At 42.9% G+C, this 27,794-nt stretch overlaps 1 protein-coding gene and 2 pseudogenes across 3 annotated transcripts, besides 1 other annotated feature; 1 reads left to right on the top strand and 2 right to left on the bottom strand.

Moving 5' to 3' along the window:
* PAICSP1 (phosphoribosylaminoimidazole carboxylase, phosphoribosylaminoimidazole succinocarboxamide synthetase pseudogene 1) overlaps nt 1-26,282 on the bottom strand; it is a 34,374-nt pseudogene extending 8,092 nt beyond the window's left edge.
* Nucleotides 17-776: a silencer, noted in NCBI's record as "silent region_19914". NCBI's record gives its function as "represses an Ori minimal core promoter by ATAC-STARR-seq in GM12878 lymphoblastoid cells {active_cell/tissue: GM12878}" and the evidence as "EXISTENCE:reporter gene assay evidence [ECO:0000049][PMID:35858748]".
* Nucleotides 217-26,769, top strand: SLC25A51 (solute carrier family 25 member 51). Of its 3 annotated transcripts, NR_024872.3 has the most exons (5): nt 217-276; nt 787-813; nt 4,394-4,515; nt 22,713-22,826; nt 23,596-26,769. NR_024872.3 is itself a non-coding variant. In NM_033412.4 (3 exons), the coding sequence occupies exon 3, from the start codon at nt 15,794-15,796 to the stop codon at nt 16,685-16,687; it is 894 nt and encodes a 297-aa protein (NP_219480.1). In that variant the 5' UTR covers nt 217-276; nt 4,394-4,515; nt 15,752-15,793; the 3' UTR covers nt 16,688-16,740. The 3 variants fall into 3 exon arrangements, 1 of the variants encoding a protein (NP_219480.1); NR_024873.3 differs by lacking the exon at nt 787-813; NM_033412.4 differs by lacking the exons at nt 787-813; nt 22,713-22,826; nt 23,596-26,769 and adding an exon at nt 15,752-16,740.
* TMX2P1 (thioredoxin related transmembrane protein 2 pseudogene 1) lies at nt 16,771-18,661 on the bottom strand (annotated as a pseudogene).
* Nucleotides 26,770-27,794: the final 1,025 nt, after the last annotated feature.

Below are 27,794 nucleotides of genomic sequence, written 5' to 3'. Positions count from 1 at the left end.
AAGCATGGTGGCTAGCGGAGCCCGCATCCTGACAGGTGTGCTGGCGTGGCCCTCTACCTGCCCCGCCGCGGCGGCCTGCGGCCAGGAGAAGTAGGCTGGCGACATCTGGCGGGCCGCGGGCCGAGGGAGGGGAGGCGGGGCGGGGCGGTGTCTCCCTCACGTGACCCCAACAGCGCCCAGCGCGTCGCGCTGCGCCCCAACCTCGGGGTCGGTCACAGTCTGCGCCTGCGCGGGCCCCGGCTCGCTAGCCGTCCTGCGGGACGCCGGCGCTGATGGGTGAGTGTGGGACGAGCGTGGGGAAGCACCGGGCTTTCTTCGCATGAGGTTGGAGGGAGGGGAAACGCGCTGAAGGGCCCGCTGGGGCAGGCTGCCGCCCTGGGGGCCCATCCCTGTCTTCTGCGCGCTCCGGCTGCCCTGGCCCGGTCCCTGCGGGCCCCACCCAGGCGGCGCGGGCGGAATCAGTTCTGAGCCTCCTCGGCTCCGGGCTCCCCCGCCTGCCGCGGGTGTTTGTCCGGCTGCTGGGCGACCTTTCCCGCGAAGGCGCTGTCCCTTCATTCGGGCGCGCCCTGGGCTGGGGAGGCACCTCCCTGGTGCACAGGAACCGCAGGGGCGGGGAGGAGCCGGGAGCTGCCTGCGCCCGGGGGACAGCGGGGATGGCACCGCGCAAGGGCCTCTGCGTCCCGGGAGACTGGGATTTCGGCCTCACCTCGGGACCCCTGACTGTGAAGTGTCAGAAACGGAAGAGGACTTAGTGATCTTGTCCAACCCCCTCCCCGCCTTTCACAGGTTGGGGAAATGGACGCCTGGAGAACGGTAAGTTCAGCTACATAGCCTGGCAGTGCTTGTTCTGCGACAGCATATTGCATCGCGTTGTAGGAAGCTCACTTGTACAAGGATTTTCGGGGACGATGGTGTTGGTGGTGTTAGTCTCCATCCATTATTTGGTGTTCAGTTTAGCTAGATGGAGTATGTCAGCACCTCAACTTCCTGCAAAACCTTTGTTTTGCATCTCACAGCTCTACCTAGCTGATCTTAATTCCCACCTTCTGTTTTTCTCTACTTGTAATCTCTGAAACAGAAGCCCTTGAAATGTATAGTGACCTTGCCATTTTGAGCCGCCTCTGCCCGTGCTTTGAAAGGATTCCATAGGATCAAAAGGTGCTAGGACTCTTGAGGTCCCATAGTGGTTTAGAGCACAGGTTACCGCTTTGGAACTGGAATCACCCTTAGCGCATCTCAGGGGAAAACAAGCTAGGAGTTGACTCATCTGATCTCTCGTTTGGTAAATGAAAGCAAACTCAGATCAGTGGATTTTAAAATCAGATATTGCTTTGTCTTTATATTGGCAAGCTAGTGTCGTAACTAGGACTAGACCCAGGCTGATCTTGTTCTGAATGCTGACTCAGACCTGCTGACTAGTGGAAATTCACATCCTTTGAGAATTGGAGTCACCCTCTCCCCAGTTTTTGCAGAGACCTTTGTGCTAGGATCATATCTGTATCATGCTGATCCATGTAGGCTGTAAATTATAATAAGGTTTTAGACTTTACACTGTTTTCTTAGTCACAGAAGCTTGACACTTGTAGTTGCTTGAAAATCAAGTTCATTAACTGCTCCCTTATGATGAGATAGTTTTACGTAGCAAACAAGCGTAAAGTTATGGTAAATAAATTTTGCAATAAATTGCAAAGAATTATCCACATTAATGAATAAAAATATAAAGATCAGTTTAGCAAAGAAATTTAACCATGTTCACAGTATAGGTAAACATGCAAAAGTCTAAACTGTACTACCAAATAATGCTGTGCACATTATCCTTCTATTGCTAAATTAAGAACATATTCACACCATCCTGGTGTGTAGGATTAAACTAGAGAAAAAGCTTTAAATCTGTAAAGTCCAGGAGGGTTTCATAACATTTTTTCCCCCATCTAGGCCTATTTTTTAAATCTGAGAATCTCAATGTACAGTAATGTTCTTAAAATAGTTGGATATGGTGGTCAATAAATGGTTAACTTCTGTTAGCTGTAGTTTTCTGCTTGTTTAATAACAGTCCCCATTCTCACACAGAGTCATAAATAAACTAACCTTTATTTGCAAAATTTCAGAAAGTAATACAAGTAACATTCCAGTAAAAGTGAACATGGACAAAATTTTTATTGTTGTTCAAGTACACAAATAACTTGGCTTGTACTGTCAAGGAGCATGTGTAAACAGCTTGTAGGTGGTGACTTTAGAATTTAAAATATTTTGTGTGCTCCGTATGTAAAAATAAAATGGTTTTGACATTCATAAATTGTCACAATATCATGTAATCATGTACATTAATCTAAATATTCTTGTTGATTTAACATTGTTTAATTCTGAAACTGAAGAAGTGCAAAGCATTACATAGGTATCAAGCATTTCTAGACTAAGTTTTAGGACTTCAAATATTGATTAATCTTAGCTTGTAAGTGTACTAATAAGAGTTTTTAACTCATACCTATCAGCTGAATCAGTAAAAAGTAAGGATGTAGTAGAACTAATAATTATCAAACTCAATACCCTAACAGACTTCAGTGTCTAGAACATATCTTGAAGTTAATCATATTAAGCCCCAAAACTCTGTACATTAAGAAAGGGAGAGGAGAGAGGGAACAGATGATATTCTGGAACCTTTTTTTTCCCTTTAATCTTATTTTTACTGTGAATAACAACACTAGACTCACTGAAGATTTTGGGACACTTACTAGCAAGCATAGTTAAGACAAAATGCCAACTCTCTTAAATAGTAATAAGAGTTTTGCTCAAAGAAAAGTACACAGCCTTAAACAGTCAAGTTATGAAATAAAGGATAAAAATAGTTGTCTCACTTAAGAATTACAAGAAAATAAGCCAGGCACAGTGGCTCACACCTGTAATCCCAGCACTTTGGGAGGCCAAGGCAGGCTGGATCACTTGAGCTCAGGAGTTTGAGACCAGCCTGGCTAACATAGTGAAACCCCGTCTCCACTAAAAATACAGAAATTAGCCGGGTATTGTGGCATGCCTGTAATCCCAGCTACTTGGGAGGCTGAGGCAGGAGAATCGCTTGAACCCAGGAGGTGGAGGTTGCGGTGAGCCAAGATTGCGCCACTGCACTCCAGCCTGGGCAACAGAGTGAGACTCTGTCTCAAAAAAAAAATTTTTTTTTTAAACTAGGTGAGCATGGTGGCTGATGCCTGTAGTCCCCTTTGGGAGGCCAAGGCTGGCAGATGATGTGAGCCCAAGGAGTTTGAGACCAGCCTGGGCAACGTAGAGAAACCCTGTCTCTACAAAACATACAAAAATTAGCTGGGCTTGGTGGTGCGGGCCTGTGGTCCCAGGTACTCAGATGGCTGAGGTGGAAGGATTGCTTGAGCCCAGGAGGTCAAGGCTGCAGTAAGTGCAGTGAACTGCGAGGTAGCCACTGCATTCAGCCCAGGTGACAGAGCAAAACTCTGTCTCAAAAAAACAAAACAAAACTGAGAAATAGTAAGATTGGTAATTCACAAGCTGCTGCTTTGCTAGGAGTGGTAAGGTTATAAATTAGATAAACTGATAACCCTGCTCAAGAAAAAAGGGAACATAAGTACACAGGTTAGAAGTAATTTTTTAAAACAGCAAGTGTTGGATGGGTGCAGTGGCTTGTAAATCCCAGCACTTTGGGAGGCCAAGGCAGGAGTTCAAGACCAGCCTGGGCAACATAGCAAGGCCCCCTCTCTGCTAAAAAAATGTTTTTTAAAAGTTAGCCAAGCATGGTGGCATGCGCCTGTGGTCCTAGCTACTCAGGAGACTGAGGCCCCAGGGGTCCAGGCTGCAGTGAGCCATGATCGTACCACCGTACTCCAGTCTGGGTGACAGAACAAGACCCTGTCATTTTTTTTTTTTTTTCTGGATAGAGTCTTGCTGTGTCGCCCAGGCTGGAGTGCAGTGCTGTGATCTTGGTTTACTGCAACCTCTGCCTCCCGGGTTCAAGCAATTCTCCTGCCTCAGCCTCCCAGGTAGCTGGGACTACAGGTGCGTGCCACGATGCCTGGCTAAATTTTGGATTTTTCGTAGAGATGGGGTTTCACCGTGTTAGCCAGGATGGTCTCGATTTCCTGACCTCATTCATGATTCGCCTGCCTTGGCCTCCCAAAGTGATGGGATTACAGGCGTGAGCCACCACACCTGGCCAAGATCCTGTCTTTAAAAATAAAAATAGGCTGGGAGCAGTGGCTCATGCCTGTCATCCCAACACTTTGGGAGGCCAGGGTGGGAGGAACACTTGAGCCCAGGAGTTTGAGACCACCGTTGACAACATAGTGAGACCCTGTCTCTACAAAAAAAAAAAAAAAAAAAAAAAAAAAAAAGGCTATATAAATTAAACCAGAATTTTTTTTTTTTTAAGGAAATCCAGTTATCAAAATTGACTCAAGAAGAGAGAACCTAACAGAACAATAACAATGGAAGAAATTGGGAACATTATCACAAAGCTATCATCCTGCCAAACTCCAGGCTCAGATGTCACAGGTGAATGCAATTAAACTTCAAGGAACACATCATTTTGATAAGATTTAAATTGTTCTACAGTATGATGGGGGTGGGGGGGCGGGGAATCACATATTCTTTTTACAAAGCCAGTGGAACATTGACACTGGCACTTGATGTGAAGATAGTATTAAAACTGAAAACTTATCTGAGTGCCAAGGCTTATGCCCATAATCCCAACACTTTGGGAGGCTGAGGCAGGAGGATTGCTTGAGCCAAGGAGCTTCAGACCAGCCTGGGCAACACAGAGTGACCCTGTCTCTACAAAAAAGTGAAAAATTAGCCAGGCATGGTGGCGCACGTGTGTGGTCCCAGCTGGGAGAATTGCTTAAGTCTAGGAGCTTGAGGCTGCAGTGAGCCATGATTGTACCACTGCACTCCAGCCTGGGTGACAGAGTGAGACCCTGTCTTGTAAAAGAAGAAAAAAAAAATGACAACATGATCTGTTATGAACAGTAATATGAAATTTTAAAATATTAGTAAATGGAAGTTAGCAGTATGATGAAAGAATATTTCACCACGGCCAAGTAGCATTTATCCACATATTGCAAGAGTGAGTAATCACCAAGAAATATGCTAACATAATACACCAAATGAATAAGTCAGAAAAGATAGAAAAGAATAATAAAATAGCTTGCCCTTGTTGAGTTCCTACTGTACACTAGACTGCTGTCCTGGGCACTTTACATGTTGTTAGCTCAGTTAATTGAGCTAGTCTATGAGGTAGTTAATAGCCACGTTTTATAAAGAGAATAAGCTATAGAGTGACTTGTCAAAGGTCACACAGTACATGTGTGGTGGAGCTAGGATTTAAGTAGGTAATTAGTAGGTTCCAGAGGCTGTACTCTTAAATATTACACTGGCTGTCTCCAGTGTTTGTATGATCATCTCAGGAGCTTTCTAAAAGCATTTGACCAAAGTTTAAGATAGACTCTTGAGTTATTGGCGGTGGGAAGGTGTGGAGGTGATTGAACTTCAGTACAACAATAATAAATGTATATTTCCTTCCCATGTTTGAAAATTCTCTCAGTTTGACTTATCAGTTGACTAGAAAAATGAAATTCATTTTTATTTTATTTATTTATTTATTTTTGAGACAGAGTCTTGCTGTGTCGCCCAGGCTGCAGTGCAGTGGTACAATCTTGGCTCACTGCAACCTTGCCTCCTGGGTTCCGGCAATTCTCCTGCCTCAGCCTCCCAAGTAGCTGAGATGACAGGTGCATGCCACCATGCCCGGCTAATTTTTTTTTTTTTTGAGATGGAGTTTCACTCTTGTTGCCCAGGCTGGAGTGCAATGGCATAATCTCAACTCACTGCAACCTCCGCCTCCGAGGTTCAAGCAATTCTCCTGCCTCAGCCTCCCGAATAGCTAGGATTACAGGCATGCGCCACCACGCCTGGCTAATTTTGTATTTTTAGTAGAGACAGGATTTCTCCATGTTGGTCAGGCTGGTCTTGAACTCCTGACCTCAGGTGATCCACCCGTCTCAGCCTCCCAAAGTGCTGGGATTACAGGCGTGAGCCACCGCACCCGGCCACCCCCGGCTAATTTTTGTATTTTTAGTACAGATAGGGTTTTGCCATGTTGGCCAGGTTGGTCTTGAACTTCTGACCTCAAGTGATCTGCCTGCTTCGGCCTCCCAGAGTGCTGGGATTACAGGTGTAAACTACTGCTCCTGGCCTGGAATCCATTTTTAATGGGAAGCACAATTTCATAGTTAATAGTTGGGGGCAGGAGCTTAAGTTATAATTGCAGCTCCACTAATTCTTAGAATGAATATAGATTGAAGTCTTGGGGTTTTTGGCATGATTTGTGAGATGAAATTATGTGATAGCAGAAGGAAGGCCTCCTGCACTTCATGTTTACAGTAGAGTCCTACAGATGGGCAGGGGTAGATGATAAATAGGGAGGAGGGATACTTGAGTGGAATAAATCATATATGACTCAGCTGATCAGTGAACGTTTCTGTGTCTTGATGATTTGTTTCCCTGTGTAAACTTGAAAACTGCTAGGACCTGGATTATGAACACTCAGATGACAAGAACTTCCTGTTTAAAACCGAAAGCCAACTTAATGATAATCCCTAGGAGAGTTCCCACAGGTGTCAAGAAAAATATAAGAACTATAATTATATATATATGTAATTATATATAGGGATTATAATTATAATTTATTATAATCCTTTATTATAATTTAATTTTGTTCAGGAAGTATTTATCAGTTCAATAAGAAGAAAGAATTACACATATTATAAAAGAGAAGGCAAAATTTTTTGCAAGTGATCTTTTACATGGTGGAAACTAAAACGTTCACCAAAAAACTGAGACATAGTAAGAATTCAGTAAGTTAGCTGGTTCTAACCTTAATACCCAAGAATTGTTAGTTGTTTTCTTATGCAAACGAAAACTAGTTAGAAAACTGATGGAAGTAAATAGCCTATGAATAATAATAATCAGGCAGGGCAAAGTGGCTCATGTCTGTAATCTCAGCACTTTGGGAGGCTGAGGCAGGAGGATCACTTGAGCCCAGAAGTTGAAGACCAGGCTGGGCAACATAGTGAAACCCCATCTCAAAAAGAAAAAAAATTTAAAAATTTAAAATATAATAGTAACCAAAAAGGTGAAATACATAGATGTAAGAAATAATATCTATGTGAAGAAAATTTTAATGCTTTAAGGTTTGCAAAAAGTTATAAGTAAATAGGAAGATACCAAGTTCTTGTAAAGTTAAGATTCAATTTTGAAAAGATGATCAGTATTTAAAATTAAGATAGACTTGTCATGTCCTGTCTGTCATTCCCTCTGGACAGCTAGTTAATGACCTCCTGCTGTACGGGGCCTTGATACCTTCTATGATTGCACTTATCTCCCTATAGTCTAATTAATTTGCACGTCTTATCTCCCCTGACATAGGTACCGGACATACATATGCTCTTTAATTTTCACTCTTTCCATCTAAATACCACTAAAAATTCAAAGTTAATACCGTTCTGAACCTTAAATATTTATTTATTGAGACAGAGCTTCGCACTTGTCACCCAGGCTGGAGTGCAGTGGTGCAATCTCGGCTCACTGCAACCTCCGCCTCCTGGGTTCAAGTGATTCTCCTGCCTCAGCCTTCAGAGTAGGTGGGACAACAGGTGCACACCACCACGCCTGGCTAATTTTTGTATTTTTAGTGGAGATGGAGTTTCGCCATGTTGGCCAGACTGGTCTCGAACTCCTGACTTCAAGTGATCCACCCACCTCGGCCTCCCAAAATACTGGGACTACCGGCGTGAGCCACTGTGCCCGGCCACCCAGCCTATTTTAAATATATATGCCTCATTCTGTGGATACATCTTCCACCATAAAACACCAACAGGATTTTGGGGAAGAGTACACCGAAGTTTACCTGAGAAAAGTGAGAGGGCTAGAAAAACTGTAATAATTATCTTTGGAGGGGGAAGCCCTACTAGATGATGAACTATATTTTGATGCTGCAATAGGTTAAAACAGGTTAGTACTAGAGAAGAAATACCAGGCTCTTTGTGGAAAAGAATGGAGTGCAGAAATAAACGCAAACGCCCGTGGGTATTTAGATTATGCTGCAACTGATGGAAACAAAGTTCAGTCATCAGTGATGTTGGCAGTCTGTTATCTTTGCCTCACTTCTTAAACTGATATTCCAGAGATATTACAGTATACGTGATAATTCACCATAAAAATTATGGAAGGGCCTGTAATCCGAGCACTTTGGGAAGCCGAGGCAGGCAGGTCACTTGAGGCCAGGAGTTTGAGACCAGCCTGGCCAATGTGGCAAAACCTTGTCTTTACTAAAAATATAAAAATTAGCAGGGCATGGCAGCACACACCTATCATCCCAGCTACTTGGGAGGCTGAGGCAGGAGAATCACTTGAACCAGGAAGGCAGAGGTTGCAGTGAGCCGAGATCATGCCTCTGCGCTCTATCCTAGATGATAGAGTGAGACTCTCTCAAAAAAAAAAAAAAAGTTGTGGAAGGAAGCCTGGATTACTTGTTAATAATTTTGGAGTAATGAAGACCTTAGGAGAACATGAAATCTAGAAGTTGAGATATATTTAATATTCAAATTAAGAACTTCAGTGTATAAAAATGATATAGACATGGAAAAATTATTTGCCACAATTTGACTAAAATAGATTCATTTGCTTCATATCTAAAAGATACTTTACAAATCAGTAAGACAACCAAAGTGCCAGCAGAAAAATGGGCAACATATATGAAAATGTATAGTAAAGAAGTGGTCAATAGAAATGAAAGATGGGGAATCATATTCAAAAATTTTAAATGGCAGGCAAGGTGGCTCACTCCTTACAATCCCAGCACTTTGGGAAGCTGAGGCATTAGGATCGCTTGAGGCTAGGGGTTGGAGACCAGCCTGGCTAACATAACAAGACCCCTTCTCTACAAAAAAAAAAAAAAAGCCGAATGTGGTGGTGGATACCTGTAGTTCCAGCTACTCAGGAGGCTGAGGCAGGAGGGTCATTTGAACCTAGGAGTTCGAGGTTACAGTAAACCATGACTGTGCCACTGCATCGTAGCCTGGGCAACAGAATGAGACCTTGTCTCAAAAAAAAAAAAGTTTTTAATGGCAAAACAATTCACATGGTATAAGTACAAGGTTGCCCATTGCTGCATTGTTTAAAGGCGAAATAGAAAAAAACAATACCCAAAGGAATAGTTCTACTATAAGGACACATGCACAGCCATGTTCACTGCAGCACTATTCACAGTAGCAAAGACATGGAATCAACCTAAATGCCCATCAGTAGTACACGGGATAAAGAAGACGTGGTACACATACACCATGGAATACTATGCAGGCATAAAAAGAGCAAGATTGTGCCCTTTGCTGGAACATGGATGGAGCTGGAAGCCATTATTCTTAGCATACTAACTCAGGAACAGAAAACCAAATACCACATGTTCTCACTTACAAGTGGAAGCTAAATGATGTGAACTCATGGACACATAGAGAGGAACAACACACACTGGGGCCCATAGGAGGGTGGAGGGTGGGAGGAGGGAGAGGATCAGGAAAGATAACTAATGGGTACTAGGCTTAATACCTGGGTGGCGAAATAATCTGTACAACAAACCCCATGGCACAAGTTTACATAACAAACCTGCACACGTACCTCAGAACTTAAAATTTTTTGTAAAAGGCCAGGCCAGTGGCTCATACCTGTAATCCCTGCACTTTGGGAGGCCAAGGCGGACAGATCACTTGAGCCCAGGAGTTCAAGACCAGCCTGGCCAACAAGTTGATAACCCATCTCTACAAAAATAGAAAAATTAGCCAGGCATGGTGGCGGGCACCTGTAATCCCAGCTACTCGGGAGGCTGAGGCAGGAGAATCAGTTGAACCCAGGAGGTGGAGGTTGCAGTGAGCCGAGATCGCACCACTGCATTCCAGCCTGGGCAACAAAGCAAGACTCTGCCTCAAAAAAAAAAAAAAAGTTAAAAAAAAAGGTGAGTGGGGGCAGGTTTAATTAGACCTTTCCTCTAGACACTCTCTGGAAGGTCTTGGAATTAAAAATGTATATCTTTTGTATACCCACTCACACACTTGGCAAGCTGAATTGTCCACAGAGTTTTCCAAACCTTAATAATACAAAACCATAAAAAAAAACAGCAACCATAAATAGGAGGTAGAATAAATTGTATACAGTGCAGTCATTTCATAGAGTACTGTGCAACCATTCTAAACGCTCAGGTATCTCTGTGCTAATATTAGATTCCAAAATGCATTGTTACATACCTCACTTTTTAAACTTAGTAGTGTGTGTGTGTGTTTCTTTTTAAAATGACGAGTAGGTTGAAGAGGGCAGGGAATAGGGGTGGGTGAGCGTGAACAGAGTCAGGCTGATTGCTGCAGGGTCCCTTGCATTAGTTCAGGTGAGAAGAGACCCGAGTAGGCCAGTGAGCCTGGAGGAGAGGCTCTCTGTGTGTTTAATTGGTTTCCAGCTTTTTTTCTCTATTCATGTAGGTTATACACGTTTCTTCTGTGAATTTTTATTTAAATGATTTTTTGTTGTTACTGGATCTACAAACAGCCCAACTCCAAGGAATCTGGCATCTCTCAGTGGAGCATACAGGTGACTTCATAATCTAACCGCATTAGTAACTGCCAAAATCGGAAGTAATTTCTCTCTGTTTAAAAGGCAGTGAAACAAATTTTCAGAGCAGGTTTCTTCAACTGAACAAAATATTTTGGACCTTAGAGGTGGTATGGCTCTCCTGATCAGGGAGGGACAGTGAAAGGTTTGAGCTCTGACACTGCCCAGCTCTCTGGATACAACCAAGTGACTTTCTTTGAGTGGGGAGAAGTTTCCTGACTCCTTGTATTACCTTCCTTAGGGTAGACTTTGGGCCTGCAGTGACATTAGTCCTAACTTGCTCTTAGGTAAAAAGAGTTCATCTTTTCTAATAGGAACATGACAGCAAAGCAGCTCAAACTCCAAAGAGGCGTTAGGCCATAGATTGTACAGATGTCTACATTTTCTTAATCATAGTCTATATTCTTAGAAAAGGATATACAGATCTTAGTGTAACATACTTAAGTAAAATAGTTTCTTTCATTTGCTTCACAAGAGAAAGCAAAAAAATTTGGCTGGGCACAGTGGCTTACACCTGTAATCCCAGCACCTTGAGAGGCTGAGGCAGTTGGATCACTTCAGCCCAGAAGCTCAAGACCAGCCTGGGCAACATGGTGAAACCTCATCTCTACAAAAAAAATACAAAAATTGGGCCAGGCGCTGTGGCCCACACCTGTAATCCTAGCACTTTGGGAGGCCAAGGCGGGCGGATCACCTGAGGTCAGGAGTTCAAGACCAGCCTGACCAACACAGCAAAAATCTGTCTTTACTAAAAATACAAAAACTAGCTGGGCATGGTGGTGCGCACTTGTAATCCCAGCTACTTGGGAGGCTGAGGCAGTAAAATCGCTTGAACCCAGGAGGCAGAGGTTGCAGTGAGCTGAGATCGTGCTACTACACTGCAGCCTGGGCAACAGAGTGAGACTCCATCTAAAAGAAAAAAAAAAAAATTAACCAGGTGTGGTGGCATGTGCCTGTAGTCCCAGGTACTCAGAGGGCTGAGGTGGGAGAATTGCTTGACCCCAGGAGGTTGAGGCTGCAGGTGAGCCAAGATTGCACTACTGCATTCCAGCCTGGGCAACAGTGAGACACTGTCTCAAAAAAAAAGAAAAAGAAAAAAATATATATATATAATGTAGTATTGTATATATTGTATATATATAATGTAGTATTGTTCAGAGGGTCTTGGGATTTTCCTGAGGGTCCTAACCGGCTTCTCTGTCCTCATCAGCTACCCATCCTTCTCTACCTACGTTGTGCCCCTGCAGGGCATACACAAGTAACCTCCAAGAACGCGATGCCGCTGCTCCTTTAGCCCAACACCTGTGCCTTAGCCTCTGCTGCTCCATTGGCTAAAATGTGCTTCACCCTTATGTGCATAGTGACAGTTATTCAGCTTTCAGAGCCGAGCCCACGGGTCATGTCCTGCCTGTCATTCTCTCCAGACAGCTGATTAATGACCTCCTGCTGTATGGGGCCTTGATACCTTCCATGATTTCATTTATCTCCCTGTTGTCTAATTATTTGCCTGTCTTATCTCCCCTGACATAGGTACCTGACATACGTATGCTATTTAATTTTTACTTTGCGTCTAAATACCATTAAAAATTCAAAATTAATCCTACACTGAACCTTAAACACTTCTTTATTTTTAATAACTTTATGTCTCATCCTGTGGATACATCTTCACTTACACATTGTGTCTTTTACTATTGAGCATTTGTATTCATTATTTGCTGTTAAAAGCCTGGCTGTGACTATCTTATGGCTGAATCTTTTTTTTTTTTTTTTTAAAGTAGTTGTGTGTATATATATATATATAAAATTTTTTTTTTTTTTTTTATCATTCTTGGGTGTTTCTCGCAGAGGGGGATTTGGCAGGGTCATAGGACAATAGTGGAGGGAAGGTCAGCAGACAAACAAGTGAACAAAGGTCTCTGGTTTTCCTAGGCAGAGGACCCTGCGGCCTTCCGCAGTGTTTGTGTCGCTGGGAACTTGCGATTAGGGAGTGGTGATGACTCTTAACGAGCATGCTGCCTTCAAGCATCTGTTTAACAAAGCACATCTTGCACCGCCCTTAATCCATTTAACCCTGAGTGGACACAGCACATGTTTCAGAGAGCACAGGGTTGGGGGTAAGGTCATAGATCAACAGCATCCCAAGGCAGAAGAATTTTTCTTAGTACAGAACAAAATGGAGTCTCCTATGTCTACTTCTTTCTACACAGACACAGCAACAATCTGATTTCTCTGTCTTTTCCCCACATTTCCCCCTTTTCTATTCGACAAAACCGCCATCGTCATCATGGCCCGTTCTCAATGAGCTGTTGGGTACACCTCCCAGACAGGGTGGCGGCCGGGCAGAGGGGCTCCTCACTTCCCAGAAGGGGCTGCCGGGCAGAGGCGCCTCCCACCTCCCGGACGGGGCGGCTGGCCGGGTGGGGGCTGCCCCCCACCTCCCTCCTGGACGGGGCGGCTGGCCGGGCGATGGCTGAATCTTTGTGTACATGTTGTGTGAATTATTTTCTTAATCTGTAGTCTTAGAAGGAAAATTATGGTTGTGTGTGTGTTCCATATTCATTACACATTGGTGGCTCTGGCAGATATACGCCCCTTAGGAACTAATGCTATCTGATTCTTTCTGTGCCTCAGCTCTACGCTTTCTACTTTGAGAGTGATCATGGTTCTCTTTAACATCTTTTGTCCTGAGTGTTGAGCAGTTCACCACAGCATGTGTGTAGTATGAGGAGGGAAAAAAAACTTAAGGAACTTGGCAATTTTTTGTTCCAAGTGAAAGACCTAGACGGTTTTTTGTTGTTTTTATTATTTCCCATTGAAACTCTTAAATATGGTTTGGATTGTTTCCACCTCTTGGCTGTTGTGAATAGTACTTCTGTGAACGTGGGTGTACAAGGTCTTTGAGACTGCGCTTTCAATTGTTTTGGTTATATCCCCAGAAGTAGGATTGTTGGATCGTATGTTCTTTTTTTTTTTTAAAGCAGGGTATTACTCTGTCACCCAGGCTGGAACGCAGTGACATGAACACAGCTCACTGCAGCCTGAACTTCCTGGGCTCAAGAGGTCCTTCTCCCTCCACCTTCCCAGTAGCTGGTGTACGCCATCATGCCCCAAAAATTTATTTTGATTTTTGTAGAGGCAGAGTCTCACTATGTTGCCCAGGCTGGGCACAAATTTGTGGCCTCATGCAATCCTCCCACCTTGGTCTTCCAAAGTGCTGGGATGACAAGTGTGAGCCACTGCGCCTGACTACTATTTTTAATTTTTAAATTATTGTTATTATTTTTAGAAACAAGAGTCTTGCTCTGTTGCCCAGGCTGGAGTGCAGTGGTGCAATCATGGCTCACTGCAGCCTTGACCTCCCTGGCTCAATTGATCCTCCCACCTCAGCATCCCACATAGCTGGGGCTACAGGCATGTGCTACCATGCCCAGCTAATTTTTAACTTTTTCATAGGCATGGGATCTCTCTATGTTGCCCACACTGGTCTCAAACTCGTGATTCAAGCAATCCTCCTGCCCCAGCCTCCCAAAGTGCTGGGATTACAGGCATAAGCCACCATGCCTGGCCAGTATCTTACTGTTAAGGAATTAAAATCCAATTAAAAAATATTTAGCCTCATATACACACACACATACACATATGTGTGTATATATTTATATATATTTCTAATATATAGAAGTTTCTATATATTTCTATTATATCTAAGATACAATATACAGTTATCATGTTATCCCCCAAATAAAGGTGATTTCCAAGACCAGAACTGGAAGGTGGGAATTATTCTGTATGACCCAGCTATTTGGATCTGGATTTTTTCAGGGAGAAGGAATCAGATTTAGATGACTGGCAAGGAAAGATCATGCATTTTACAGAAGGAGGTGTATTATAGGGGTGGAACTTTGGCTTAGTTCCAATCATTTTCAGCAGTATCTAGTATAGCCACCTCTTATCCCAGGGCAGCCTCACAAAGTCATTGCCATCTGTGATATGGTAGCAGGGATATGAGCCCTGGAATCACTCAGACTTCATTTCAGAATGCTGACCCCACCAGTTACTAGCTGTGCCCTGAACAGAACAAAAGAGAATACTGGTTTTATTCATTTGTAAAACTGGAAAAATAATTGTGGAGTTGTTTTGAGAATTCATACATGAAAATAGAGTGCATGGTACATACCTGTAGGCCTTCCTTGCCCCCATCATCCCACACCTCCACCTTCCAAGGTGCATGTTCAGTGTCCCTTACCTGTGTTCCCACAATGGTTGGTTATCATAGAAGCTGTCACATTGGTGTAATTGTTCACCTTGGCACATTCTATTAGTTTGTGAATTCCTTATCTTTGAATCTCTAGCAACTTAGCAGAGGACCTAGTTCATAGTAGGTACCAAAGAAGTATAAATATGAATAGAATGAGTGCATGTCTTGCTGTTTTATTTCTCAGGGGAGGAATGTGGGCCTATTTCAGCAGGACAATAGATAGATACCGTATATAGTGTAGTCAGTAATTACGAACTAGTCTAGTGGCTCTGAAAGTTTTTGGTGTTAGGACTCCTTTACAGTCTTAAAAATGATTGTGGGCCCCAAACACCCTTTGTTTATGTGGACTGATATTCAGGGTCTTTAGGAATTTAAAATTAAAATATGAATTTTAAGGTAATGATAAACACATTACATGTTAACACATTTTCATGAAAAATAACATTCATGCCTCCCATTTTTTTCTAATGATTTTACAGTCATTAGAAAATATTTTACAGTTTTCTAAGCCTTTTGCATGTCTGACTTAAGATGGAGTTTCCTGTTTGCTGCATTCAGTCTGTTGTGATAAGTCATTTTGATTAAAGTATATGCAAAAAATCAAGCCTCACATAGATATGTAGTTTGAAAAAGGAAAATCTCCTGGACTCCCAAAAGGATCTCAGGGACTTCCAGGGGTCTTCTGAAAATGCTTTAAGAATCACTGATCTAGTCTGAAAAGGAAAGTGTGGTGTCCAGATATTAGAGGATGGATTAGGGAGAAAGCCCATGTGTTTAGCTCTCTATAAAACGGGTTTACCCGTTGTCATTTATTATTTGTAGGTTAAAAAAAGTCCTTCATGAAAAAGAAAGATCTTAAGCAGCATGATGGATTCAGAAGCTCATGAAAAGAGGCCACCAATACTAACATCTTCAAAACAAGATATATCACCTCATATTACAAATGTTGGTGAGATGAAGCATTACTTGTGTGGCTGCTGTGCAGCCTTCAACAATGTCGCAATCACATTTCCCATTCAGAAGGTCCTCTTTCGACAACAGCTGTATGGCATCAAAACCCGGGATGCAATACTTCAGTTGAGAAGGGATGGATTTCGAAATTTGTATCGTGGAATCCTTCCCCCATTGATGCAGAAGACAACTACGCTTGCACTTATGTTTGGTCTGTATGAGGATTTATCCTGCCTTCTCCACAAGCATGTCAGTGCTCCAGAGTTTGCAACCAGTGGCGTGGCGGCAGTGCTTGCAGGGACAACAGAAGCAATTTTCACTCCACTGGAAAGAGTTCAGACATTGCTTCAAGACCACAAGCATCATGACAAATTTACCAACACTTACCAGGCTTTCAAGGCACTGAAATGTCATGGAATTGGAGAGTATTATCGAGGCTTGGTGCCCATTCTTTTCCGGAATGGACTCAGCAATGTCTTGTTTTTCGGCCTTCGAGGTCCCATTAAGGAGCATCTGCCTACCGCAACGACTCACAGTGCTCATCTGGTCAATGATTTTATCTGTGGAGGTCTATTGGGTGCCATGTTGGGATTCTTGTTTTTTCCAATTAATGTTGTAAAAACTCGCATACAGTCTCAGATTGGTGGGGAATTTCAGTCTTTCCCCAAGGTTTTCCAAAAAATCTGGCTGGAACGGGACAGAAAACTGATAAATCTTTTCAGAGGTGCCCATCTGAATTACCATCGGTCCCTCATCTCTTGGGGCATAATCAATGCAACTTATGAGTTCTTGTTAAAGGTTATATGAAAAAACCATCAGTTAAGTGCCATTTATCAACTGAATAGACCTTCTAAGAAGAATGCAGTTTGGCCTCTTTTTTTTTTTTTTTTAAAGGAAATCCCAATCTTATTATGGAAAGCCATCAACTGGGTGTGGGGAGTAGGTCAGAGGGTTAGTGAAAGTCCAGGGGATTTCTCCTCCAAGTCCTACCACACAAAGGAAAGTCTCAAGCCTCTATTCACCCCTTCTCAATCCTCACAAAATAGGGGGTTGTTCAATATTGTCTTCAATGATAAAAACTTTGTGGTTAAAAGTTTCTCCTTAGGACTAGTGACAAAGTTAGGCTTATACTTTTTTTTTTTTTTTTGAGGCAGAGTCTTGCTCTGTTGCCCAGGCTGGAGTGCAGTGGCACGATCTTGGCTCACTGCAACCTCCGCCTCCAGGGTTCAAGCAATTCTCCTGCCTTAGCCTCCTAAGTAGCTGGGATTACAGGCGCCCGCCACCACGCCCAGCTAATTGTTTTGTATTTTTAGTAGAGACGGGGTTTCACCATGTTGGTCAGGCTGGTCTCGAACCCCTGACCTCGTGATCCACCCGCCTCGGCCTCCCAAAGTGCTGGGATTATAGGCGTGAGCCACTGTGCCCGGCTACGCCCAGCTAATTTTTTTTTTTTTTTGTATTTTTAGTAGAGATGGGGTTTCATCGTGTTAGCCAGGATGGTCTCGATCTCCTGACCTCGTGATCCACCCGCCTCGGCCTCCCAAAGTGCTGGGATTACAGGTGTGAGCCACCGCGCCCAGCCAGGCTTATACTTTTAATGAAGACCATAAACCAAGCCAGAAGGGCTTAAGGAAGCAAGAGTCCTTGGGGGAAAATTCTTAGCGTTCTATACCCCAGCATCTTACCTTAGGGTTAAATCTAGGTCTAACCAGGCTGTGCAGGTTGACTAAGAAGGAATAATGAAACGACAGAGTTTCATGGAGAAACCATGGAGATGTCTGAATAGCTGATAAGCAGTTAACACACTGACCCAAGCTTGGAGGGAAACCATTTCCCCCTCCATCCTGTGAGATCTCTTTCTTGCTCCAGTGCAACAGTTGGCCACAGCATGGCAGGCCTTCCTGTAGGGTGCCTGACAATTCCCTAGATGCCTCTTTAAAATCAGAAGCTGCGCACTGCCCCACCCAGTCACAGCCAAAGGGAAAACATAAATAAAAGGCTGTAGTCTCAGGCTTGTGGTTATGGAAAGAGCCTGGAATTGACAGGAGAGGAAGCACTGCCAAAGTGAGGATCTTATTTATCCTTCTTGCTTTCCCCATCTGACACTGTGGTGGGGGTTGAAGCCACAGGCTGCTCCTCAGGGATATTGTCTCCAGCCTTTGATAGCTTCTTGGCCCGCTGGTATAGCTCATTTAAGTTAAATTCTCGGATCACATTCTCCTCAGAGAAGGTCCATGAGACAGCCCGTCCTTTCTTGTCAGTCTGTGGCTGCCGCATTACCTTCTTGCCACCTTGGAACAGGATCAGGGTAGGGAGTTGATTGGTGAGGGGTGATGTGCTCACTTTGTACCGCGTACTAACATCAGTATAGCGTCCAGCATCCACCGTCCCAAAATTTAGCCCTGTACAGTTGTACTTAAGGGAGAGGTCAGCATAGATAGGGGCAAATGATTGGCAGTCATTAGACCAATTGGCAAAGAACTCCACAATCCAAGTGACCCTGTTGTCCCGTTCTAGTTCCTCATCAATGGTTTTATCATTGAAGTACTTGATATACTCAGGGCCCATATATGGGGAGGGGGGGGTTTGCACGTCATCAGGAACACTATGCAGAGTGTGATGTAAAGTAGGCCCATGCGAATATCCAAGCGGAAGAAAAGAATTGCGTTGGCCACTTTACTAAACATGAAAATGTTGCCTATATGTTGCTCCACAGTGATGGATCTGCGGTTCTTCATCATCACAATGGCACTGAGAAACATCAGGATCTCCGCTTCTCTCTCCGGTTTCGGGCAACTCCTTTGGGGTTCCGAGTCTTCTCTGAGGCCCACGTTGGGCGCCGTATTATTGTTGCCAAAAAGAGTGAAACTCACAGTGAAACCCCATCTCTACTAAAAATACAAAAAATTAGCCAGGCGTGGTGGCGGGCGCCTGTAGTCCTAGCTACTCGGGAGGCTGAGGCAGGAGAATCTCTTTCTTAATTGGCCAAATATAAGTTGGTGTCGTAACTCCAGGCCACAGTGAGTTATGGGCAAAGCTTTTTTCCTTAAGCATCAACAAAATAGGATAAAAGGTTCCAATAGGAAAATACAAGGTTTTTTTTTTTTTTTTTTTTTTTTTTATCATTACCTAAGAGCTTTAGGCTAATTGCCTGGTAAATAGCTGTCCATCTGATGGCCTTTGACAGGGAACCTAATCCCCAAGATAGGATTCTTTTTCTTAAACCAATCTTGAAATCGCCTGCATTGAAACATAAGTGGCTGTGACCGGCCAGAGGAGAAGGTCCTCAGGGGCCAGGGGCTCCTCAGGCTTCCTTTGTTACTCCATTGCTTGCTTCTCTGCCCTCAGGAGCAGCTGCAGAGGACAGTCTTCATTAAGCTCAAGCATATGACAAAGGGGCAGAACAGAAAAGAAAAACAGCTTATTAGGTATAGGCTTTTCATGATAAATTGCTTGTATTAGTTTTGAAACTAAGCACCTATTGGATAGGCATTATACTATTTCTATTTAGATATGGTAGATCAAGGAGCTATGAAAGTTCCTGTTTTGCTTTCTAGGTTTGAAAGTTTTCTGTTTGATTCTGACTGTGATCTTCAACCCTTCCAAAATGTCCTTGTGTTATAATTTCACTTATTTCATTGCCAAAAGATGAAGGGACTTGAATCTTGTTATAGTTGTTCCATCCTGTTAACAAGTTTTCATTTTGTGTGTGGATCAAATTCTGGTTAGCTTGGTTTCTTTGAATTACTGGTGCCATCTCAGCAAAGGCCTGTGGTTATTTTTCCCCTTGAGTGGGAGTTGGTCATATTCAAGCATCCTGTTCTCTTAAAACTCTCCTTTTAAAAAATAAACACTTCCATAACATTTTGTTTTGGAAGTCTATTAATGCAATCCCACTTTTTTCCCCCTAGTTTCTAAATGTTAAAGAGAGGGGAAAAAAGGCTCAGGATAGTTTTCACCTCACAGTGTTAGCTGTCTTTTATTTTACTCTTGGAAATAGAGACTCCATTAGGGTTTTGACATTTTGGGAACCCAGTTTTACCATTGTGTCAGTAAAACAATAAGATAGTTTGAGAGCATATGATCTAAATAAAGACATTTGAAGGGTTAGTTTGAATTCTAAAAGTAGGTAATAGCCAAATAGCATTCTCATCCCTTAACAGACAAAAACTTATTTGTCAAAAGAATTAGAAAAGGTGAAAATATTTTTTCCAGATGAAACTTGTGCCACTTCCAATTGACTAATGAAATACAAGAGACAGACTGAAAAAGTGGATTATGCATCTTAAAACCCTTTCTGTAAATATTATGTAGCTAAAGATTGATTTCCAGCATCTGACATGACAGTAGGTTTCTTGTTAACCAGTTTTTCTTCTTTCTGGATAATTGCATATGAATATTTATACATACTGACCAAAATAAAGGCCTCAACTTGGTAGTTTACTGAAAGTTCTTGGACAAATAGTCCATAAAAGCTGTTGACCTCTAAATGCACTATGGCTGGTTAAATACAGTGACCATCCTTCTTCCAGCTGTAAAGGATGAAGCGTATTAAGCATTAGCCAGGCAGTAATAAAGCTAAATAGCCATACAGCAGCTCTGACAATGTTGTGCTGGATATTGCAGTTTGCTTTCAAGGTGCAGATGTAAGGATTTAAAAAAATAATAATTTGGCACCAAATAAATATGAGTAGCATCCATTGGCCTATTAAATCGAGTCAGGATTTGAAGGGAATTGAGTTTGAGAAATGAATAAATAAAGGCACCTTGGTGCCTGACCCCCTCAATCATGCGTGTGACTTTGAGCACTCACAGGTGTGTGCAGCTACTCAGCCCAGGGCAGGTGGGTTAGCCTGGGGTTATACCTTGGCCCTGGGAATAGACACCATTGGGCCTTTGGTTTTGTTGGGCTTCCTTTTGTCTTTACACTCCACACAGGTGGTAGAAATCTGAGTTCTAAAGCACTTTTGTGAAATACAAGCTAAGTGAGAATTCTAAAGAAAATGCTTTGGTTTCTGCTGTCTCAAATAAGTGGCATTTAAAAACAATTATTAATAAATATTTTTAATGGTTTTAACTCAGTATTTTTTTTTATTTCTTTGTCACTCTTTACAGCTTTTGAAGACCAAACTGCAAATACATTACCAGGGATGGTTTTGTGTTGTCCTATAGACTTCTTAAATTTGACAAAAAATTTAGCAGAACTTGTAACCAACAGCTTTGTCTGAACTTGAAGTCAAAATGTGTTGTTAATAAGAGATTCTAACTATTGCTTTTACCTTCAGTGTGAACTAGTGTGGTAACAACTTTGAAAAGGCAGGCCGGGTGCGGTGGCTCACGCCTGTAATCCCAGCACTTTGGGAGGCCAAGGCGGGTGGATCACTTGAGGTCAGAAGTTTGAGACCAGCCTGGCCAACATGGCGAAACCCCATCTCTACTAAAAATACAAAAAACTAGCCGGGTATGGTGGCACATGCCTGTGATCCCGGCTACCCAGGAGGCTGAGGCAGGAGAATCGCTTGAACCTGGGAGGCGGAGGTTGCAGTGAGCCGAGATTGCGCCACTGCACTCCAGCCTGGGCAACAGAGTGAAACTCTGTCTCAAAAAAAAAAATTGAAAAGGCAAATGTGATTGAATATCTGAAAAGCTTTAAAAGTGGCCTTTCTGTTACGTCTGTGGCACAAATGGCTCATGAGCGCAGGACACTTATGGTCTTGTGTCCTATACTTCATGTGTGATGCCACCAGAAATGTTATGGATTCCGTATTGAACACACTGAGAGTGGTATGAGCCCTCAGGACTGCACCACAGAGTAAACACAACCTTGATATGGTGGCGAATATGTGTGTCTTTCTTGTTTCATTTGTGGTTGGGGACAAAATCGATGTATTTGTCTAAATAGTCGATATTCATCTTAACATGGTTGGTTGTGTAATCACCAGCTATATTGTGAACTGTGCAATAAAACAGAAGCGTTTGTGTATATAATTACCTTTGGATACCTGAAATTCCCAAGCTTGGTTACAATGTAATGCTCAGTATAAGGCTGTGCAAACATGTAAGGGAATAATGGTGGTCGATGGGATATATGAAATGGGATCTAGAGGGCTTCGAGTGAAGCCAATCATGTTGAACGAACACTGGTTCAGTGTAGATGAAGTAGAGTGAGGCGTATGCAGTCATAAAATGAAGGGTGGACAGGAGATTACATTTGAAGAAAGGATAAGCACTCAGACTTGGTCTCTTTTAAATTAAAATATTTCTTTTCTCATGTGCAAATGTATATCAAAGACTTGAACAGGTATTCTCTTGAAATTTGAGGATTTTTAGTTTTTAATGCTGTCTTTGCTTAATATTAAATATGTGTTGCCTATTGGCTCCCAAATTGTGTGGGAGTCTCTAAATGTTTCCTCTTGAAGGTTCATTATTGAAAGTGGTTAAGTGCACAATGCTATTTTTGTTTGATAGTTTGAGTTTTATGACCCTATGAGTTTAAATGAAATCTGTTAAATGTTTCAGAGTTAACACTTTTTTTTTGATAATTTGGAATAAAGTTTGTTTTTTAAGCCCACTCTTTTTGGTCTTCTCTTATGCTTGAGTAGTTGCTTGTTACTGGCACGTTCCTTTTTTGTGGTAGTGATAGATTGATCTGTTAGTCTTTTTATTCAGAAAACATTTAGCACACTACCTTGACTTTTAGCAACTTAACCTGGGGATGTTGCAGGTAAAACATTCCTTTGTCTATCCATCTTATTTCGTCAAGAGGGGTTTCATATAAGTTTTATTTTCCAGGTAGTTTAACTGCAAAGCTTTTTGTTTGTTTGTTTGACAGGGTTTCTATTGCCTGGGCTGGAGTGTAGTGGCATGATCATGGCTCACTATAGCCTTGACTTCCTGGGCTCAAGCGATCCTTCCGCCTCAGCCTCCTGAGTAGCTGGGACTACAGGTACGTGCCACCAAGCCCAGCTAATTTTTGTAGAGATTTTCATCATGTTGCCCAGGCTGGTCTTGAACTCCTGGGCTCGAGCAATCTGCCCACCTTGGCCTCCCAAAAGTCTGGGATTACAGGCGTGAGCTACTGTGCCTGGCCACATTTTATTTCTTAAAGGTCTTCCTCATATTTAATACACTTCTCTACTGAGTTTAAACTTTCTTGGTTTAGCTTATCAGTACTTTCTGTTGTAATAGAGTAGCCTCATGCAATGTTTACTCCCAAGTTACATGGTCTGGATGTTTGTGCTTTTCATTTTTTTTTTTTTTTTATATCTACTTTTGCCTTCAGAGCTGCTCCTTTCTGTTGTAGCTCATTGGTTAGGAGAGTGTGAAGTTTTAGCCACATTGTGAATTTGCATGTTAAGTTTTAGGTTGTTTCCTGGCTTTAGAGATCATTGAGGTTGCCTGATAAGGACAGCAAGGTAAAGGAGCAGTTGCTTCTAAAAGTCCTGTTTTGGATTGAAATCCATCATAAAGAATAAGTGTAATATCCTGAACTTGTACATTTAGATTTGATAAAAAGGGTGTTTAATCATCATCTGATGAAATCTTTTAACCCACCCATAGCAGCCACTGTAGAGTTCTAGACCTCCAGAGTGAGGAGTAGGTGTGACCAGGAACAGCCCTGGGGGATCTCTGCATAGCTACAGAGCACTCCCAATCCCCAAGAGACTGGTTCCCATCTTAAATCTTTTTATTTATTTATTTACTTTTTTATTTAGAGACGGGGTTTCGCTCTTGTGACCAGGCTGGAATGCAATGGCGTGATCTCGGCTCACCGCAACCTCCGACCTCTGGGTTCAAGTGATTCTCCTGCCTCCGCCTCCCAAGTAGCTGGGATTACAGGCATGCGCCACCACGCCTGGCTAATTTTGTATTTTTAGTAGAGATGGGGTTTCTCCATGTTGGTCAGGCTGGTCTCAAACTCCTAACCTCAGGTGATCTGCCCACCTCGGCCTCCCAAAGTGCTGGGATTATAGGCGTGAGCCACCGCGCCGGCTGCCTTAAATCTATTTATCTGACGTTCCCAACTAGGAAATTTTTTGTCCAAATGAGTATATGTGATTTTAAAGTAGAAATCGAAGGTAAAATAGGATTTATCTCAGTTCCTATCTCCCTTCAATCTATTCTTCATATTGTCAATAATTTTTTTTTTTTTTTTTGAGACGTGGTCTCTGTCGCCAGGCTGGAGTGCAGTGGTGAAATCTTGGCTCACTGCACCCTCTGCCTCCTGTGTTCAGGCGACTCTCCTGCCTCAGCCTCCGGAGTAGCTGGGATTGCAGGCATCCGCCATCACACCCGGCTAAATTTCGTATTTTTTCAGTAGAGACAGTTTTGCGCCAGGCTGGTCTCAAACTCCTGACCTTAAGTGATCCACCTGCCTCAGCCTCCCAAAGTGCTGGGATTACAGGCGTGAGCCGCCGTGCCCGGCCATCAGTAATTTTTTAAAATGTCACTTCAATAAATGCTTTTCCTCTGCCATAAAGACCAAACATCTTGCTGTGGCCTACAGGAGACAGGATGATCCAGCCCTTGCCTCCCTTACTCTCATCTCTAGCTAAAACTGCGCTGCTGTCTCTGCACTCCAGCCACTGGCACTTCCTGATTACTTGGGGCACGCTGTACTCATCTTGCTCCCAGCCTCTGCCCATGCAGGTGCCCTCTGCCCTCAGCACTGCCTTTCTCTACTTCATTTATAGACTGCTGTCCTTCAGATCTCGGTTGAAGTGTCACTTCCTTGGGGAAGCTGGCTTACACTCTCAGGACTCGGTTAGGTTCCCCCGTCAGGCTCTTCTATGTCACCATGTTTCTATTTTTCACAGCACTTAACCTGTTTTAATTACGTTGCAAATAGTTTTTGTTTGGGTCTAGAGAAGCATGTATTCACTAGTACATTTTATTTGTGTTCTCTAATTATTTTTTCTGCAGCTAAATTAGAAATTTGTAGTTTTCCCCCTAAAAATGCAATGATGTTTTCTCTGATTTTCTTGTCACCTTTCTTCCAAAAAATCCATGTGTTCAAAGTGCTTGCTTGCAGTTTGCCCCATAATAAATGGTTGTTTAATCCAAATATCTGAGTAGCAAACTGAGCTGATCCTTCTGGAGAAAGTATGGTTGAATAGCCGAGACCACTGAGTAGTCGCAGAGAAGACCACACATCCTGAACTCCTCAGTCTGGTGTGAGGGGAGGACAATAGATAACTGGATGTGTAGTGTTCCCAAACATCACTGATCCCAAACCATTGCTTCTGCCTGCCACTGCCACAAATACAGTACGACTGCCACCCCTTCATACTCAGCTTTAATCCTCAGCATTTCTTCTGGTCCTTTATGTGCAGATGTTACTCAAAGTCTACATGGAATGCCAAAATTTCCACAGGCCTTGATTTTTTTCACGGTGATTAAGATCAGAAGTAGAACCCATCAATACTATAACACTGCACTGACTTTCTGATTTCAAAAGCAACTCTACTCTCTACAACCCACGCAAAGTTTTTCCTTACCATTTGGAACCCTTCAGGAGTTACACTGAAGCCTTGATAAGACTGTTTCAGCCAGGAGTGGTGGCTCACGCCTGTAATCCCAGCACTTTGGGAGGCTAAGGCAGGAGGATTGCTTGAGTCTGGGCAACATGGCAAGACTGGCTCTATTTTTTTAAAATAACATTTTTAAAAGTATGATTAAAAGACTGTCTTTCTATTGGCTTTGCTCCCCCGATGGTGAGTGTCTCTAGGAGTCATTATCAATAACATCAGTGAGAATTTCTTTGCTGGTCACATGAACACCAAATTCAATCTTCATATCAACCGGTGTACAGTTCTGGGAGCAACCGGGATTTCTCCGGGATTTCAAAAACAGCCTATGTGGCATGACTCATGATATCCACTTCAGTTTTATACCAAGTGCAGCAAAGCCAAATTTTGCTGCAATTAGCTGTTGCCTAGACCACTGTGGGTCATGATTGGCATCATCCTTGAAAAACATCTCCACTTTAGGTGGGCAAAACTCACATCCTTCCTTGACACCAGGATTTCTTTCGAGTGAAGAACCAGTTGGTATTCTTCTGCAAACCATTCAGTTGGAATTATTTCACACTGGGGCACAATGAAAGCTGTCTCCTCACATTTTCTGGTGAAAGCAGTTTTAATACCTGCTTCCTGTAACAACAGAAAAATGCAACTGGTAATTTTATTTGAGATTGCAGCTTTTCCTTCCAGGTGATTCTGACTGCATTTCCTGCTGTAATCTGGTCCTTAGATTGCAGGACTTTTCCTGGCCTATCTAACAAGCAATTCATAGACCTCTTTTGTTTTACCCTCACATAGTTTTTTAGCAATGTTCAGTACCTCAGCTCTCACTATTATCCTGAGTGGGATGAAAGTTGCACCCATGCTGAGAGGCAGAAATCTCTGTTGTGAATATTTGATACCTCTTGCTTTATTTATTTATTTATTTATTTATTGACACAGATTCTCACTCTGTCACCTAGGCTGGAGTGCATTGGCGCAATCTTGGCCCACTGCAGCCTCAGCCTCCCAGGCTCAAGCGATCCTCCCATCTCAGCATTGCCAGTAGCTGGGACCACAGGTGTGTGCCACCATTCCCAGCTAAATTTTGTATTTTTTGTAGAGACAGGGTTTCACCATGTTGCCTAGGCTGGTCTCAAACTTCTGAGCTCAAGTGATCCACCCACCTCAGCCTCCCAAAGTGCTGGGATTACAGGCATGAGCCACCATGCCTGGCCCTGTTGCCTCTTTAAAAAGCCAGTCCTGGCAGGGCACAGTGGCTCACGCCTGCAATCTCAGCATTTTGGGTGGCCAAGGCAGGAGGATCTATTGAGTCCAGGAGTTTGAGAGTTCAAGTCCAGCCTAGGCAATATAGTAAGACCTTGTCTCAAAAAAAAAAAAAAAAAAAAAACAACCAAGAATCAAGAATGATGGGACACATGGATATTCAGTATCACAGCATTCTGGAATATCCTATGAAATGACCGAATGAAGGTCAGCCTTCATTTGTTAATGGGTCATGGAGGTCATTTAAGGAAAAGGTAATTTTTACATTGATCTCAAAGTACTGAATTGTTTTAGCTTGGGCTGCCATAACAAAGTACCATAGACTGGATGACTTAAATCAGGGTTCCCCAACGCCTGGGCCACGGACAGGTACCCATCTGTTTGGAGCCAGGCTGCACAGAAGGAGGTGAGCAGTGGGTAAGTGAGCATTACTACCTGAGCTCTGCCTCCTGTCAGATCAGTGGCAGCATTAGATTCTCATTGGAATGCAAACCCTACTGTGAACTGCAAATGCAAGGGATCTAGATTGTGCACTCCTTATGAAAATCTAATGCCTGATGATCTGAGGTGGAACAGTTTCATCCCCAAACCATTGTGTCGCTCCACCTATCTGTGGAAAAATTGTCTTCCATAAAACCAGTCCCTGGTGCCAAAAAGGTTGGGGACCACTGGCTTAAACAACATTTATTTCTCATGGTTCTGGAGGTTGGGAAGTCCAAGATCAAGGAGCCAGCAGATTTGGTTCCTGGTGAGGGCCCTCTCCCTGGTTTGCAGAGGGCTGTCCTCTTGCTATACCCTCACATAATGGAGAGAAAGTTCTAATCTCAGCCCTTTATAAGTAATTATAAATTAGTTATCTTTATAAGATTACTAATCCCATCATGGGCACCTCTCTCATGACCTCATCTAACCCTAATTACCACCCAAAGCCCTCACCTCCAAATACTATCACATTGGAAGTTAGGGCTTCAATATATGAATTCAGTCCACAACATTAGCTGCATGATTGATGAGACTGTTCTTTATTCTCCTTTAGTTTCCAAACACTGCCAGCGATCCTTTACTCTGAGAAATGTCTAGCCAATTTGAGATAAAACACTTGTGCATGAGTCAGGATTCAGAGGTAC

This window comes from Homo sapiens, chromosome 9, assembly GCF_000001405.40.
Source record: "Homo sapiens chromosome 9, GRCh38.p14 Primary Assembly".
Lineage (NCBI taxonomy): Eukaryota > Metazoa > Chordata > Mammalia > Primates > Hominidae > Homo > Homo sapiens.
The sequence above is the reverse complement of the archived record's forward strand: the minus strand, read 5'-3'. Positions and strand labels throughout refer to the sequence as shown.